The 19182-nt window shown below is 40.0% G+C and overlaps 1 protein-coding gene across 4 annotated transcripts in view; it reads right to left on the bottom strand.

Moving 5' to 3' along the window:
* SRGAP1 (SLIT-ROBO Rho GTPase activating protein 1) overlaps positions 1 to 19182 on the bottom strand; it is a 317518-nt gene that overhangs the window by 167637 nt on the left and 130699 nt on the right. For all 4 annotated transcript variants that reach the window (NM_020762.4, NM_001346201.2, XM_024449096.2 and 1 more), the window contains exons 2-3: positions 10439 to 10634; positions 4509 to 4671 (exon numbers count right to left, since the gene is read on the bottom strand). In NM_020762.4, the coding sequence (NP_065813.1) occupies positions 4509 to 4671; positions 10439 to 10634 (359 nt within the window). The remainder of the gene's footprint in view (positions 1 to 4508; positions 4672 to 10438; positions 10635 to 19182) is intronic.

The following is a 19182-nucleotide window of genomic DNA, read 5'->3' as shown; positions in this document are numbered from 1 at the left end:
AGCCTCAAAGGTAAGGCGCTCCATGTGAAATGGCTGTGGGGGATTTGAGAGGCATGGAGTCTCGGCCAGCTTGTGCATTCACTTGGATACTCCCTGATTTCCCACTAAATGTTCAAAGGTGAGGACAAAACTCTTAATTTAGCCACAAACAATGCTGTTGTGAGGGCACTTATCACTGTTTGCTTACAAATATTGTTTGGAACTTCATAATAAGTAGTAAATAAAACTGATTCTCTGGAAGGGTTTTTCACATCATTATGATACTCTCCTTAGAATGAGGACACATTTGGTATAATATTTGGTATAATCTCACATTACATAATTATTGTAGGTATATAGAATAAGTGCTTATAATAGAGATAATAATAAAGATATTAGATAAAAGTTACCAGGACTTATTAAGTCCAGACACTAGGCTAAGTGGTTTTCCATATATAACTCATGAATCCTCTAAACGACTATCTGGAGTAGATTACTATATCCACTTTATAGCTGCAGAAACTGAGGCGTATTTACAAATATTCCCAAGTCCACACAGCTCCCAACAGTGGTAAAGCCAGGATTCATACCCAGAATATCTGATTTCAGAACCTAAAAGCTGAATCACTATTATTTTGACCAATAGGCTTCATTTAGAATTTTAAAGGCATAAATCTAAAATAATCAGTATTTGAATAGTTGAATATTGTTATTTTTAAAATGCTTCACTTTTTTTTTTTTTTAACCTGTTGAAAACTTTTGAGTTTAGGCAACTATGTCTATAACTGGTTCTGATGTAATTAAGATTTAAGTCTTGAAGCTGTTCCCTATAGCTCTGCATGGAATTATTTCTACAAGTGTCTTCTTGATTATTATATCCATTTAGACAGAAAAAAATTCCTGAAATTACCTGCTCCAAACTCCTTATCAGACAGAATAATTTGGGTAAATGATTTTTTGTCATTGACTAAACTGTATAAGATATGGCTGTTTAAGAGGCCAAAACTATCAGGCACACAGCATTTATTTGGATCTCCATACAGACATGGGGACATTATTGAAACATGCGGAAGTCTCAAAATCTTCTCCCCAAGGAAAACAAGCATTATGCTCACTAATGACTCCACAGCAGTTCTAAAGGCTGCTTCAGATTCACACTAATAATTTCTTTCCATTTTGATAGAAAATAGGCTTCTGACCTAGAACCATAACAATGGAAGAAGAGCTAGAAAAGAGGAAGATCGGTGATTAAAACCCATTTATGCCTAGTGTTCCACTATTGGAATGCTAAGCATGTGGGAGTAATTTGTATCTTGCTGGTCAAGGTAATTGCCAAGTTCTAATTGTAAAAATTAAAAAAATTGCAACCTCAGGCATAAATGGGTACAAAAAAAAAAGGCAGGAAAGACTTTCTAATCTAAAGGGACCTGGAATTCTTTGGACTTGGTAGATATAGATTCTGGCTTCCTATTCTTTCAGATGACAAATGTGTCCTAGGGGTTGATCTTACTCCTCCGTAAACTCTGATTTCTCCCTGTGTCCTTTGCCTCTCTTGTTCTTTCCTCTTCCAGCAATAACACAGATGGGAAGGTAAGGTCTGTAGTCTGCTGTGTTTGCTCGAGGAAGGCAGAACTTCACACCTGTAATTGTAATGACTTGTTACCCTTCCAGGTGGTCAGCAATGGTTAGGAATGAGAAAGCTGATCAGGAAGCATAGAGCATTCCCCCTACTAAATGCCAAAGTAACCAGGAATCCACTGTAAATAGGCAGTTTCCAAGGATGAAATTCTTTGAGAACCAGAAAATCTGGATAAGAAGAGAACTCCTGGTAGCAAGCAAGAAGACATATCTGTTTTTGTCTGTCTCTCTGTCTCTCTCTCTGCACGTGTGTGTGTGTGTGTGTGTGTGTGTGTGTGTGTGTGTGTGTGTGTGTGTGTGTGTATTTACTGTGCATTCTCCAGGCCATTCCTCAAGAGCCAGCAACTCATTCCTCCAACTACTGGGAATACCGGCTGCTAGCTGTTGAAACTCAGAGCTGATCCCTCTCTGGGAATTACCCTCCACCAAAGGGAGCTGCCTCACTCCAAGATTACTTAATCCCTCCCCAAAACAAAGGCCAAGTCTCCTTGCCTGGATATGAGATCACTCCAAATGCCATGCCAGCCCCAGAGCACTCACAGGTGCAGCCTCTCCTTCTGCCCAATTTTGCCTTTCTTGCTTCCTCAAGAATGGAGAGCCTGCTCTTGAATCTCTGGAATGATCTCCCAAGATCACAAAGCAAGTATGCAGAAGGGCTGGGATTTAAATCCAAATCTGTTTGACTCTTAGCCCTAGGTTTCTATCAACTTTATCAAGCCCTTGACTCTGACTTACAAAATACACATCCTCACATTTTAGCAAGACGTACAAAGTCCCTTCTTACATGACCATCCTTTCTAGCTTCACATCCCATCACCCACTCCCATACGATCCCTGGTCCAATCATATCAAACTCTTTCCTTTCCCTGAACATGCTCATGCTCTCCTTTCCTGGAATAGCTCATTGTCCTTCTGTTAGATGAATGCCTCCTTCTCCTACAAGTCTCACTTCAAGTGTTCCCCTTTCTGAGAACAATTTCCTCATCCCCTAGGTAGAGTTAAGATCTCCAGCCTTCCAGTTCCATTTAGCGTAGTAACTGTTAATTACTGTAATGAGCTCCTTGCAGGCAGGGACATGTCTTTTAGCTCTGCTCCCCTAGCCAGGCATTTTAAAGATGCTTTGTTGAATGGATAAATAAATGAACTCAGTAGAGTTACTGGTCCTAGAGGCCCTGTCTGAATAAGAAGCATTATATAGTGCCATACAAATTTGGATAAATTGTGACCTCCTTGAGCACCAGGAATAGATTTTCTTCATCTTTGTAGCCTTTTCAGCACCTGTCATCGTAGTCTCCTGCCCATAGGAGATGCTCAGAAAAACCTGCTGAACCAAACGAGATCTCTGCATAAAGAGCTCATATACAAGAAAATTATTGCACTTTCACAGCTCTGTCTAAATTATTTTTTTAAAACTCTACTATTTAAGACGCATAGGATATTTCTTTATCTCTTCTTAAATTGTATGCTCCTTAGTTTCAATTTTTAAAGTTTCTCCTTTGTTTGAAATTTGTTTTTCTATTTAATGGAGCATAAGGTGACTTAGAGCTTGCTAAATTCCCTTTCTAGGTCAGAAATCAAATCTAATGTGGATACATCAAACATGACTAAGAAATTTTCCAGCTGGCCTGCTTAACACTATGTCTTTGTTTTAAGGAGCCTCTCTGAAACATAAATATGTCATTAATCTACAGAGAGGTTTTTCTCCCCGCTACTTTCTGAAACTAATAATTACTCACTGAATAGAGGTACAGGTATAGGTACAGGCATCAACATTCCTAATACAAAGCTGAGAGAGTGGGGGAAAACTCTCATCTTGCAAGCATAAAAAATGAACGCTAGTCGTACTGGGCAAGTAGCTGCATTCTCTGCACAGGAAATGGTCCCATTTTATTATTTGTGCTCAGCAAAAATGTCCACACAACAAAAAAATTGCTGAGAGTTGGCTGAGATTAGTAACAACGATTAGAAAACTTCAAAGCCCAGTTATTGTTTTTTAATGGATTTGGGAAGGAGGAAGCTCGCTGGTGTGTAAGGGATGGAATTTTCTGTGCCCTGTGAAATTTTCTTCATGTCGCTCTCTCACAGCCTCTACTGCTGGTCTGGTGAACTAAGAAAGACTGTGCTAACATCTTCTCAAGAGAGTAGCACATGTAATAATCTTGTTCTTCACAAGTTTCTCATCATGTGTGAGCCCCAAACAAAGAATTCAAGGCATTTACCCTCTGGTCTGATTTTTCATGAGTACAGGTAGTCCGTTCCTGGGCAGAGGTACAATTTGCAGGAACATCTTATATCAAAATTTTTGCTCACATTGTGTAGCTCATAGATTCACTGACTTATAACTCTATAAGTATGCCTTATACCTAACTTTTTTATTCTGTATTTTTAAAAGATTAATTCATCTAATTTTTAACTCTTTTTTTTGTTTGTTTGAGTCGGAGTCTCACTCTGTCGCCCAGGCTGGAGTGCAGTGGCACGATCTTGGCTCACTGCAACCTCCGCCTCCTGGGTTCAAGTGATTCTCCTGCCTCAGCCTCCCAAGTAGCTGGGACTACAGGCAAGCGCCACCACGCCCAGCTAATTTCTGTGTTTTTAGTAGAGACAGGGTTTCACTATGTTGGCCAGGATGGTCTCGATCTCTTGGCCTCGTGATCCACCCGCCTCAGCCTCCCAAAGTGCTGGGATTACAGGCATGAGCTACCACGCCCGGCCTAATTTTTAACTCTTTATTCCGTGTCTTTAAAACATCCATTCATCTAATTTTTAACTGTTTATTCTGTGTCTCTAAAGGATTCATTCATTCACCTAATTTTTCAGATACCGTTCTCAGTCCTGGTTATAGACAAGGCAGTTATTGGAAAGCACACTATGGCAGGATTTATGGAGTGTACCTTTTTAAACATCCTGGTAGAATCCTCACTTATCTGCATGAACCGCATAATCACATTGTTCAGATAGATGTCACTCAAGGTTGCATGGTCTTTGCTTTCTCTCCTTACTTGGTTCAGGAGCAAATACCAGCAGTTCACTGGAGACAACAGGTTCTGGTCTTTCCTAAGAAGTGAAGAAACACAGAATTACCACCCATTTCAAAGTTGCCCCAATCAGATGAGTGAAGTCACCAAGGCAAACTAAAGAACCACAACAGATGGATACTGTGCTGTGCATCCTGCTCTGAGCATTTCTCAGACCAGGACACTTATCAGCCAGCAGAACAGGCTTCCAGCCTGTGGATGGCATAGAGCCAGCAATTGTCCAGGTTTGGAAGGAAAAACTTGGACCATGAACACTGGTGAAATCCATATTCCTGACAAGGACCATGGGACCCTAATATACACAGTGCTTAGGCAGGCCCTCAGCTTTAAACGCTCCATTGAAGAAAGCAATTTATGTTTACATAAAAATCTACTGACTACTACTGTCCAGACAGACTGTGGTTTTGCCACGGCATACAAAGTCTGCTTTGAATGTTCAGTATGTTGCTGGAAAAGAAATTTGGCTAGTTATGCATTCCATGGAACATAAATTTGAGGGTTATTTATTAATCCCCTGATACATAACCTCCAGTCTCCCAAAAACTATTCCTGGGAATCAGAACTTTATTGCATTGTCTCAAGGCTCATGAAGAGAACCATGAAGTTTGCTGGCTTATGACTTGTCACATGTCCTGTTGAAACCCATTAAACTGTTTCAGACTCATAACTGCTCCTTGTTTTATTCTATAAAATAAAGCTAAAAGTTAATATAAACAGCAAAAGAAAACTGTTTAAAAATCTTAAAGAATAACTCAACAAAAACAGTGAGCAACTGGGATGATACAGCTTAAGAAAAATTACTTTTTAAAAAATTTTTGCAGCTGGGCGTGGTGGCTCACGCCTATAATCCTAACATTTTGGGAGGCCGAGGCGGGTGGATTGCCTGAGATTGGGAGTTTGAGACAGCCTGGGCAACATGGCGAAACCCCGCCTCTAGTAAAAATACAAAAATCAGCCGGGCATGGTGATGGGCACGTGTAATCCCAGCTACTTGGGAGGCTGAGGCACAAGAATTGCTCAAACCTAGGAGGTCGAGGTTGCAGCGAGCCGAGATTGTGCCACTGCACTCCAGCCTGGGCGACAGGGCGAGACTCTGTCTCAAAAACAAAGAAAAGAAATTTTTTTGTTTGTTTTTTCTTTAAAAAGTAACTGTAAAATGGCAAAATAGCAGAGAATCCTTATGCTAATGCAGGAACAAAAGCACCCTTTAATCAGACATGTTATCCTCCTATTATTTATGATCATGTATGACTCTGAATATTAATTAAGTTAGGAAAGAAATGATGAAGTTGGGCCTCTGCCATTACGTCTCTCAGATTCAGGATTTAATACTGCATTAAGTCAATGCCCTCTCTAGAAGAAAATGAAAGTAGACAATGGAAGCAGGAATGGGCATAGGGAAAGAAGGCCTGATTTAGGCTCCTAGCACTTGGCACCCATGAGGGCAGCCTCCCATTCTTCCCATTGGCACACTGAAGAATTATACCCTCTACCCTGAGATCTCCCTTTTTTCTTAACACCATCAGGCAAAGAGCAGTGGTTCTATAACAGGTAATTGGAGCTTTTCTATTGAGAGTTCCTATCTACCCAGCCCTATATAACAAGGTAAATGTTACCTTATTTCTATTAACTTTCATGTAGATCTTCTTTGCTGAAGTAACCCACAAATTCTTTCAGAACATTTCATGCTTCAACATATCCTCAGGGCCTTGCCCCACAGTAAACATTAAATAAGTGTTATTTCACTCATTGCATAAATAATTATTATTGCCTTAGTAATAATAGCAGTAGTAGTAATATTGAAAATAATAATAGCTATCATTTAATGAGCACTTACTGTGAAAAGTAATATCCATGTCAAGCTCATGGCCTCTGGAGCTGCACTGTCTAGGTTCACATGCAGGACTACCCCTTACTAGCTATGAGATCTTGGGCAAATGATCTTAACTGCTCTGTGCCTCAGTTACTTTGTAGAATGGGTAAAATAACAGTGCTTATAAGATTGTTCATGAGAATCACTGGAGTTAACATATATTTTAAAATGCTTATAATAATGCCTTGTATACATGGTAAGTGCTATATAAAGTCAGCTGTTTTATCACGGGCTGGTATAAAGATTTTACAGACATCAACTCTACTTAATCCTTATTACTACCATTTGAGGCAGAGATTCTTTGTATCTTCTTTTTATTTATTTTTATTTTTTTAGATGGAGTTTTGCTCTTGTTGCCTAGGCTGGGCTGCAATGGTGTGATCTTGACTCACTGCAACCTTTTCCTCCGGGGTTCAAGCGATTCTCCTGGCTCAGCCTCCCAAGTAGCTGGGATTACAGGTGCCTGCCACCATGCCCGGCTAATTTTTGTATTTTTAGTAGAGACAGGTTTCACTATGTTGGTCAGGCTGGTCTTGAACTCCTGACCTCAGGTTATCCACCCATCTCAGCCTCCCAAAGTGCTGGGATTACAGGTGTGAGCCACCGCACCCGACCCTTTGTATCTTTTCTATCAGTGAAAGAATGGAAGCTTAGCAAGGCATACTGATTTGATAAAGACCAAAGCTAGTGTCTGAGAGAGTCTTTTTTTAGTCCAGGGAAGCTAAACCAAGCCTTGGTCTTTCCACTATGCAGTGGCATCTTTAGGCCAAAGAATGTTCTACACAATAAGTGTCCCAAAACTGAGTAAGAACCAGACTCCAGAATATAGCTTAAATGATTGGTAATGATATCATGCTAAAGACATAACATGTGTTTGGTTAAAAGGAGAAGGAATATCAAGTGCATATCCTGGGCTGGTTATCAATCGTATCAAAGAGTTTATCACATTTCTCACTTAAGGGTCATAAAACCTCATTTTACAAGTTAGGACACCAAGGCTCAGAGAGGTTAAGTAACTTAACCAAAGTCACAAAGTGGAGCCAATATTCAAACCCAAGTCTGGCTGACTTTTTTCCCAATCCTGTTTTATCCTTTTCAGAGACATATTCATCTTATCTTCAGTCCCATATTCAATAATAAACTTACTCAAATTAAAGAAAATTTCAAACTGCTTACCTTTTAAAGAAAACTACCAAATAAACCAAGAGAAACAAAAACGTGTCCATCCACCATGGGGCCAGATAAGGTACATGGACCCATCCATATTTTCCCTTCACAGCCACCAATTACCAAATGCAAAACACAGAAGATACTAAAAAATATTTACTGAATGGGCTGTGCACAGTGGCTCACACCTGTCATCCCTGTACTTTGGGAGGCTGAGGCAGGCGGATCACTTGAGGTCAGGAGTTCAAGACCAGCCTAGCCAGCATGGCAAAACCCTGTCTCTAGTAAAAATACAAAAATTAGCCAGGCGTGGTGGTGGGCACCTGTAATCCTGCTACTCGGGAGACTGAGGCAGAAGAATTGCTTGAACATGGGAGGAGGAGGTTGCAGTGAGCCGAGATTGCACCACTGCACTCCAGCCTGGGCGACAGAGCAAAACTCCATCTCAAAAAAAAAAAAAATTACTGAATAGATGAATGGGCTGTCTTCTTAATTACAACTGCTTTTTAAAAGCAACAGTTAAGTTACTATGTGAATACAGTACTGGCTCCAGCCTCTGCTTCCCAGCCCCGCTCTCTGTTAAATACATATAACATTTGTTCACCCTGGGGATCATCATTAAGATTTATTTTTATGCTGGACCAACAGTAAAGGTTAAAGTTGAGAGATTGTGTGTGTCGGGGGGGAGAGAGAGAAAGAGAGAGAAGAGAGAAAGGGAGAGGAAGAAAAAAGAGAAGAGAGGAGAGAGAGAGTGAAAGGGAGAGGAAGAAAAAAGAGAAGAGAGAAAAGAGAAGAGACAGAGAGGAGAGAAGAGGAGAGAAGAGAAAGGAAGAGAACAGAGAGGTATTTCTTATCCAGAATAGTTTTGTGTTTGCTTCTGCACAAGTAGCCCAGGGATAGTTCCCATCCCATTTTTTTATGCAGGGTCCAAGGTCATGGAGAGGTGTGAAATGAACGGAACTGCAAAGCCAATGGTGACAGAAAGGCATGCTTCTCCACAGCCCCTTCCAAACAGGAGCCCAGGCTGAGCAGCCAGGTCTTCTTGTTGTGCCCTGTGAAGGTGGGTAGAGGGGTTTCTGTTTTACCATTTCACTGAGATAGTAGCTCTTCTGGTTCTGGGATGCAATGCAATGGGGTTGGTGGGGAGGAAGCTCTCAGTTCCAAGTCTTTACTTGGCACAGACCTTATCTTCTCTGCCCCAAGTGAAATTAAAGGGTGGATACAATTGCCACTTAGGTTTTCAGTTCCCTCTTCTTTTTTTGGCCCCTAGAAATTTATATGTAAAAGGATGTCCATTATATGTTAACCAGCATTTCTGAGAGTTTTCAGATAGACATGTTTTTCAGATGATCTGGCCTGCTGTATTTACAGAAATGAAAGCCTGCACTGTCTTTTTACTATCTCCAAAACAGGTCAACTTCTCTCTACCTGCAGTGTTCCTTCTCATGCCCTCAGGAAAAGGTCCCAACTGGCCAGGAAGATCCCCAGGTCCCCATGACCTCTGATTCACACCTGCAGCCATGCAGCTCATCGCCTCCCTACTCACTCCCACTGGACTACTTCTGTTCTGCAAACCTGCTGTACATCCCTTAGCCAGGCGTGGTACATTCCCTGCCGGCCCCTTGCCCATGATGTTTCCCTTGCCTGGAATATCCTCCTCTTCTCTCCTTTATTGACCAACTAGTCCTTCAGGTCTTTGCTTAGATGCCACTTCTTTCAGGACCTTCCCTTCCCCACCTCCAATGCAGAACAGATATCAGTTGGGTCTGTCCAGGGTCTCCCCCGCCTTCCCCTGTTGGAGCACTTGAATATTTCACTGGAGTTGTCTGCTTACTTGTCTTTCTCTGTCCTGAGGCCTTTTTTTTTTTTTTTTGAGATGGACTCTCACTCTATTGCCCAGCCTGGAGTGCAGTGTTGCAATCTCAGCTCACTGCAACCTCCGCCGCCCAGGTTCAAGCTATTCTCCTGCCTCAGCCTCCCGAGTGGCTGGCATTACAGGTGCATGCCACCACACCTGGCTAATTTTTGTATTTTTAGTAGAGACGGGGTTTCACCATATTGGTCAGGCTGGTCTTGAACTCCTGACCTCAGGTGATCCACCTGCCTTGGCCTCCCAAAGTGCTGGGATTACAGGTATGAGCCACCCCACCTGGCCCTGTCCCCAGGATTTAAATCATACATTAACTTTCATTAGCAGAACATCTTATGTGTGTTTTTTAAAGCAAATAAATCATAATTAAACTTACTTTATGCTCATTCATAGCATTTTCCTTAAAACTTTTGTTTTAAATCAGTGTCAATTACAATGACCATAAACATGATGGGCAGGAAGGGGGGCACAAAATTCAAGCAATTCTTACTGCTTACTTTCATATAAATTCACTAGAGAAAATTTGAGGTCTTTGCTTGAACAAAAACCTATTTTAAATCTGTCCTACCTATAGCAGATATCAACTCCCGGGTTTCTATAATCAAGAATTTTACAAACATATACCTTCTCTTCTGGCATATAAAGCTATCCATAAATATATATGTATTGGAAAGACAAAAGTGTCAACAGATTACACTAGTTTAAAATGATAAACTGATGCCCATAAGTTACAAATGTAGAGGGCTGCTTTTATTTATGAGAATATGCTCTACAACCACTACTCAGACAAAAATAGAAAAATAAAAAATCCACAAAGGTGGCAAAGGCAGTATGGATATCACCCTTGGAAAGGTGAATTAGATTCAAATCTCTTACTTGTATTGTTGATGATCCTTAGTGCTTCTTGTTTTTGCCATGAACCTTTCTGCTAACTTCTCTAGATTCCGGGAATATTCCGTCTCAATTTCAGCTTTTTTTCGGAAGAAATCTTGCAGATCCTGGAGAAGCTGAACTCGCATCTCCGTTTGCTGCTCCAGGCATTTTTGTTGTTCTACCAGTTGAGCTCGAATTTCTAAGGAGAGAAGAGAAGCCAATGGATGGTTACATTAAAATTAATGAGGTATGCTGGTATGTGCAAGATATAAGTCACGAAATATATATAAATATATATATATATATATATATATATATATATATATATATATATATATATATATATATTTTAAATGTATTTATTTATTTATTTTTGAGATAGAGGTCTCGCTCTGTTGCCCAGGCTGGAGTGCAGTGGCGCAATCTCGGTTCACTGTAACCTCTGCGTCCCGGGTTCAAGTGATTCTCCTGCCTCAGCCTCCTGAGTAGCTGAGACTACAGGCATGCACCACCAGGTAATCCACCCGCCTTGGCCTCCCAAAATGTTGGGATTACAGGCGTGAGTCACTGTGTCTGGCTATGACTCCTATTATTTATTTAGCTCTGTATTGGACCTTTGTTAGAATACTGTGTCCAGGTTGATTCTTAAAATAAGTTATCTGCTGACCCTTTAAAAGAACAAGAGGAGCCTCAGGAAAGAATGTAATAAATTAGAATAAATATGTGGGTTACATTTGTAATGCCACAAACACACAACGAGCCATGAGGGGAAAGAATGAAAGCCTTTCAGATAACAATTCGTAACATCTTTGGGTAGCTGGAAACACTGCAATTTTTTCAACAGCACTCTACCTCAGCTATCCCTTTTGAGTTTGAATGGCAAAGAAATAAGCATCATTTCTTCCAGGCTCTGAACCATTACACATTTGCCATTTGGCACATACAGAGACTGACATCTGGTAATTTTTATTTAGTGCATAATTTCTAGTTTGTAAAACACATAGCTTCAGGGCTTATAGGGATGCTGTGCCTAAAAATAACTTCTTTCCATAGCCAAATAATCCATTCATAACAGTGCAGTCCTCAGATTCCAGTATATTATTCTGTTCACAACAAAAAGGCCTCTTCAGCTGGCCTTCACCTTTTACGCATTGTTCAAAATAATACCCTTACTGACACATTTAATCCTCAAAGAATCCTCTGATAATTTTAATACATTAGGAACATGAAAGGTGGTCATTTAGTGATTCAGCAAAAGCTCAAAAGCAAAAATGTGGCATGCAAAAATATGTGTAAATGACTGTAACAAAGAAACGTGTGTTTTGGAAAATGAGATACAGTAACTAATAACTACCGACTTGTTTTTGTTCTAAGACCTAAGTAAGGCTAAGCTCCAAAGACAAGAACATCATGCTGGAAAACTTCTTCATTTCATCTTTCCCAGTGTCCGTGCATTTCCCAAAAAGTGAAGGCTGAATCTAATTCAGTGGAGTTAGTAGAAATCAATGTCCAAATAATGTCTCTAAATTTCTTGCTATTCCTCTTAGATAGAGAAGGCCAGTACTGATAATATATACATACATACACTTGACCATGTTTAACCAAGTTCATTAACAGCAAGTTCACAGCAAGTCCATGAATAAGGTGGTCAGGTTCTGAATGGGGAGTCAGGAAATGTGCTTAATTTAAAAATAACTAATAATAACTCAGTGTTTACTATTCTGTGCCCTAATGAAGTAGGTTTTAGTATTATCTTCCATTTTACAAAGAATAATTGAAGTTTAAGGAGTATAAATACTTTATCTAAGGATTTTAGCCAGTAACTGGTACCCCTGGAGACTTTTGACCCTGATCTGTCAGTCTGACTAATCAAACACTTCCCATCCTTGTTTTTTTTTTCTTTCTTTTTTTTGTTTTTGTTTTTGTTTTTGTTTTGAGACGGAGTCTTGCTCTGTCTCCCAGGCTGGAGTGCAGTGGCGCGATCTCGGCTCACTGCAAGCTCCGCCTCCCGGGTCCACGCCATTCTCCTGTCTCAGCCTCGAGTAGCTGGGAATACAGGCGCCTGCCACCATGCCTGGCTAATTTTTTATATTTTTAGTAGAGACGGGGTTTCACTGTGTTAGCCAGGACTGTCTCGATCTCCTGACCTCGTGATCCGCCCACCTCGGCCTCCCAAAGTGCTGGGATTACAGGCGTGAGCCACCGCGCCCGGCCAAACACTTCCCATCCTTCTATCCATCAAACCTTTTTTCAGGCACCTATACTGTGCCAGGCTTGCATACCGGCAAAGAAGAAACAATAACTAATGAAACAAGATCTCTGCCCTCAATAAGGTCAGGCTTCAGATACTGCTGTTTCTGGGGAGTCCTGGGGGAAAACAGGGAAGAATTTCTCAAGTGTCCTTGCTTGGTCTCTCCACCTCTAGATTGCAGGATTTTATTATAACTTCACAGACGTGTGCTGAACACCAGAGTTGAACACATTATTACAGGCTTTTAACTACTATGAACAGCATCTGGTTTTTAGTCAATCAAAGTAAGTGTTTTCCAATACAGTATTATAATCAGCATGTTTGCCAAACTTTGTCTTTCAAAAACGCAGAGCTCTTTTTGTTTCATGAAGAAAAAGAATATATCAAGGGTGGAGTGTTTCCCATTCAGGGATCCCAGTAAGTCTTTTAAGATGAAGTAATTTTAGAACATCTTGCTGCACTAAGAGAAAGTAAATCAAACATCTTAAGCTGTCAACTAGTTTTCTGGGGTTTTTTTTGTTTGTTTTTGTTTTTGTTTTTAGCTGCCTTAGTGCCAAGTAAGAAATAAAAGATAAAAGTACAAATCTCAAATCTAATCAGAAATACACAAAAATTATACAGGCTTTTTTCTTGGGTCTCATTTTTAAATATTTTCTTGCTTACTTCCATCAGGATTTAAGATCAAGAACTAGGGAATCATGAGAATGATGGATTTAACAATTAAATCCTCATCCTTGTTTTACAAAAATTAACTGTTATTTTGTGTCATCTGTAATTTTCCAATCAAAATAAGGCACTCAGCATTCTCCATAACAGGAAACATGTAAGGAACAGAATCCAGAGCATCACTGTGCGAAAATCAACTCCAAAACATGGAGGATAATCCATTCAACTACCTCTTCCATTTAGAAAAGTTTAGGACAAATAAGGAAAGGATCATAAGAAAGATCATTTTTAAAAAATCAACAGAAAACTACTACCATAAGAAACATCTCCTTAGAGGCCAGGTGCGGTGGTTCACGCCTGTAATCCCAGCATTTTGGGAGGCTGAGGTGGGTGGATCTCTTGAGGTCAGGAGTTCGAGACCAGCCAGGCCAACATTGTGAAACCCTGTCTCTACTAAAAATACAAAAATTAGCCGGGAGTGGTGGCATGCGCCTATAATCCCAGCTACTCGGGAGTCTGAGTCCCGAGAATTGCTTGAACCCAGCAGATGCAGGTTGCAGTGAGCAGAGATTGCACCACTGCACTCTAGCCTGGGCAACACAGCGAGACTCCATCTCAAAAAAAAAAAAAAAGAAACATCTCGTTAGGAAGAGAAAATCTTTGGATTCCTTATACTGCCCCAGCATCATAAGGCTGCACAGTACAGTGGTTACCTCCCTGCACAAATGGCATGGCTATCCTAATATGACTTCACTAGATTTGTGCTCACCTTAATCAGCACCAAAGAATTTAAAGAATTTTAAGAATTTACCTTAAAGAGTAAAATAAATGATTGGTCGCATAAATTTGTGTCTGCTGCTCGGAACAGATCAAAGGGCCATGCAGACTGGCTCATGGATGTAATCCCAACACTTTGGGAGGCCAAGGCAGGTAGATCGCTTGAGCTCAAATGTTTGAAATCAGCCTGGGCAAGATAGGGAGACCCTATCTCCACACAAAAAATTAGAAATTAGCTGGTTGTGGTGGTGCATGCCTGCAATCCCAACTACCCAGGAGGCTGAGGTGCAAGGATCGCTTGAGCCCTAGAGCTTGAGGCAATAGTGGAGTTGTGATCACGCCACTGGCACTCCAGCCCGGACAACAGAGTGACACCCTGTCTCAAACAAAAAAGAACAAATCAAGGAAGCCCATGGTGCACTCGGCCCCACACTGCATGAATCCTGCCATGGGGCCGCAGGCGGCTGCAGCTAGAGGCACCACTGTCATCATGGGAACTACAGAACATTAAAGCTGGAAGTGGTGAAAGCGTAAGTGCAAGGGGTGAGTTTGAGAAAAACTGTGAGCCTTATTTCTGCATAAGACATTGCAGCTTCCTTCCTACCCCTAGATTCTCTGACAGTCTATTAAGGCTCCCACCCCTTTTTAGAGGCGTTTTTAGGTTAGTATTGACCTGAATCATTTTTTTTAGACTCAAGGTTCATTTTAGTTTAGGTGAACAAGCAATTATTGAGTTTCCATTTTGTGTTAGGCAGTGTCCTAGGCACTGGAGATACAAAGGTTTGTAAGACACAGGTCCTTCTTGTTAGGAAGACAAATCCTAAACCAATCATTTACACTCTGTTCACTGCCATAACAATGAAGTGCAACAGGAAGCTATGGAAAGAGGAGCAGAAACTGACTCAGACTGGAAGAGTGTGGAAAACATAATGCATTGAAGGGTAAGTAGGTTACAAGATACACGGCAGTAACCACCAAGAAAGTGAAAAGACAACCCATAGATGGGAGAAAATATTCACAAATCATATGTCTGATAAGGAACTTGTATACAGAATACACAAAGAACTCTTACAACTCAACAATAAAAACAAAATCTCAATTTTAAAAATGGACAGGCTGGGTGCGGTGGCTCACGCCTGTAATCCCAGCACTTTGGGAGGCCGAGGCAGGTGGATTATGAGGTCAAGAGATCGAGACCATCCTGGACAACATGGTGAAACCCCATCTCTACTAAAAATACAAAAATTAGCTGGGCGTGGTGGTGTGCACCTGTAGTCCCAGCTACTCGGGAGGCTGAGGGAGGAGAATTGCTTGAACCTGGCAGGCAGAGGTTGCAGTAAGCCAAGATCGTGCCACTGCACTCCAGCCTGGTGATAGAGACTCCATCTCAAAAAAAAAAAAAAAAAAAAAAAAGGTCAAAGGGTCTCAACAGACATTTCTCCCAAGATGATATACAAATGGCAAATGGCCAGTAGCATATGAAAAGTTGCTCAATATCATTAGCTTTCAGGGAGATGCAAATCAAAAGCACAATGGGGTGCCACTTCACACTCACTAGAATGGCTATAATCAAAAAGATTTAAAAAAAGTGTTGGAAGACAATGTGGAGAAACTGGAACTCACACATTGCTGGTGGAAATGTAAAATGATGCAGTCCTTTTGGAAAACAGTCTGGCAGTTCTTCAAAAGATTACACTTAGAGTTACCATATGACTCAGCCATTCTGCTCCTAGGTATACATTCCAGAGAAATGAAAATCTATTTCCATACAAAAACTTGCACGTGAATGTGTGCAATAGCAGCATTGCTCATAATAGCTGAAAGGTGAAAACAGCTCAAATGTGTATCAACTAATAAAGAGATAAAATGTGATATAGCCACACAACACAATACTGTTTAGCCATAAAAAGGAATGAAGTACTTATTTACAACATGGATGAACCTTGAAAACATAACTTTAGTGAGTGAAACCACTCACAAAAAACCACAGTCTATAATTTCATTCCTATGAAAGGTCCAGAATAGACTAATCTATAGAGACAGAAAGTAGATTAGGGGTTGCCTAGAGTTGGGAGGGTTGGGGAAAAATGGCTGCTAAGGGGTGCGAAGTTTCTTTATAGGGTAATAAAAATGATGAAAAATTGATTGTGGCTCTGGTCGCAAAACCTGGCATATGCCAAAAGCCACTGAATTGCATTTTTGAAATGATAAATCATGTGATATGTGAAATACATCACAGCTGTTATATACATTGAAAGATAGCTATATCACAATTCCATGAAATGTTGGTTGTTGATACCTTTCTGATAATGATGATAGCAGTAATAGCAACAAACTCCTATTTCCACACCCAGTACTTTTTGGTACTTTTTGTCAAATGTCCAACATGGGGACAAGCACTTTAAAAGGATTTCATGAGCCCAAAGGCACTTAATGGCATAGAAAAGATTTACCTAATAGAATATTAGGAAAGACTTTTCACCATGAATGCCCCAAAACTGCATAAAACAGCACAACCACTTTTAGGCGGAAAAATGTGATCTCTGAGGAGGCTGTAAGCAGTCATTATTTAAATCTAGGTCAAGACCTACTAAATAATCATAATGGCAGTTTTAATGGAGGCTAAAATTTACTGTTTTTTTTTAAATGACTATTATTTCATTTCTGTTCTACCAGAGCATCACTACGGAATGAATCAATACCAATAATCCAACAAGAACAATGCACAAAATGAGTGTGCTTTTCAAACTGCTGCAATTAATTTGTTAAAAAAAAAGAAAAAATGGTTCCTCTCAGCTATAAAAATCTGCTAATACTTGCCAAATAAAATGGAATTGCCTAGAAACAGACGAAATGAAGGAATGTCTTGCTATTGCTCTCAGAAAGGGAAGCCCTAACTCTTAAAATAAATTTGTGTGAAGCCACAAACTGATACATATTTCACGGAAAGATTGATCCACACTGGGCTGTTTCTCTAATATATTACTGAATGACTACGACCAGGACATAAAATTGATACGCTGGTGTGATACTCATGATCATCTAGCAAATAATATAATAACATTTCTAAAGTATCACAAATCATCTCTGTTATTTCACATTCTCATTTGGTCAGAATTTCCTTATGATACCAAAGGGGTCTACATTCTCTTAAGATGTATTATTACCTCTATCCAAAGGACAGAAGGGATTTTCCTAAATGACAGGGGAGAGCCACTGAAATGTCTTTCAGAGCAACGCAATGAGATGCCAACGGGCTCTATTGATTATTCCCATGCTCACAGCTCATGTGAATATTTATACAACCTGGTGACTGTTGATTAACTAAACACCAGGTGCAAATTTTGCATAATAAGCTTTTTTAGGCTAAAAATTTGGAGCAGGCAAAAATTCCATAAAAGTGAGCTTTTTTTTTTTTAAGTGAATCAACTGAATAAACAAAGGCAATTTCTCCACTTCACTAGAAATCTGAACCCAAGATTTATGCTTCTCTTATACTCTGCACATAAATTAGGAAGCGTCAGGATGTACGCTACTTAATTCAATTTACCAAATTGAATTCTGGATGGGTAGGAGATCTAGTCACAGACTAGGTCAGAAAGGACCCAGACTAGGTTAGGATGGACCCAGATTGGAGTTACAGTGTCACCTAATACAAGTCATGTGACATGTGGCAAGTCTCTCAACCTCTCGGAATTTCATTTTATAAAACAATACTTCCCACCTCACAAGGCTGTGCTGAGAATTAAATGAGATGATATAAGTGAAAAGCATGCTGCAATCTGTAAACCACTATGAAACAGATGGACATGTTATTATTACTAGCACCAGCGAGCTTTCATTAAAAAATATTTATTGAATATTTTCTTGTGCCAGGCTCCTTATTCGTGGACATAAATAATAGACTGAAAGTCATGAGTCCCATTCTCAGTGAGGAAGCAGAGGCAACACAGACAGATAATGAGAGGGGGCGACTTTCACAGCCTCAAGGTAAGAATGTCAAGATGCAGTGAGAGTCTGGGGCGGACATATCCATGGCTGGGCAAGAAGGCAAGGGCACAAAGAGGTGACCCTGAGATTGACTTACCAGGAGTCTGGCTGAAGGAAGTAGGAGAGAAGGAGAGTTATAACAAGTACTTCTCAATTGCCGAAATTGAATTCTGGATGGGTAGGAGGTCTAGTCACAGACTAGGTTGGAAAGGACCCCATGTGGCATGCTAAGGAGTCAGATTTTATTTCACAGGTCAGCTTTGCAAATTGGCTTGATGATAAAAACCACCTGGCGTCCTTACTAAAAATACCTGTGTTTAGGCTGGATATTTGGATCTTGTTGGTCTAGCAGGACCTCAATGGAGGATGCTTAGAAGCATCAGTGGGCAAAAATTGAACAATTTTAAACAAGGAAGATTTATAATCAGACTTACGTTTCAGAAGAGAATACAAATGAATAATAAATGCAATGCTAAGCATCCGACACCTTATGAAATAGAGTTTTCTTTGTAAGTTGTATGGTTTCCCCATTTGAATGAGGAATCACAGGGCAAAACAAATTAATAAAAACAACAAAAACCCTCACAAGAATGAATGGTATCCATATTTTCCCCTAAGCCTCTTATTATTATAATTATTTATGAATCACTCATTTCTGTCTTCTGGTGTGGAACTAATGATGATTTCCATTTAATCTGTTATCAAGGAGTAGAAGCTGATTTGTAGCTACATTGTGGAGAAATCTTAAGCACTGTGCTGCCCAGTATGTAGCTGCAAGTGTCACTGAGTACTTGCAAGGTGGCTAGGCTGAAGAGAAGTGTGCTGTGAGTGTAAAACACGCACAAAATTCTGAAATCTTATGAGAAAAAAAAGAACGTAAAATGTCTCAATCATCTGTATATTAATTCATGTTACAATCATAAAATTTTGGATATATTGTATTATATAAAAATATTTTAAAATTAATTTCACTTATTCAATGGTTTCTTTTTACTTTTTAAAATGTAACTCCTAAAAAATCTAAAATGACCAATATGGCTTTTGGACAGCTCTCCTCTAGGAT

Source organism: Homo sapiens, chromosome 12 (genome assembly GCF_000001405.40).
Source record: "Homo sapiens chromosome 12, GRCh38.p14 Primary Assembly".
Classification (NCBI taxonomy): domain Eukaryota; kingdom Metazoa; phylum Chordata; class Mammalia; order Primates; family Hominidae; genus Homo; species Homo sapiens.
Note: the sequence above shows the minus strand (reverse complement) of the source record. Positions and strands in the feature narration are given on the sequence as shown.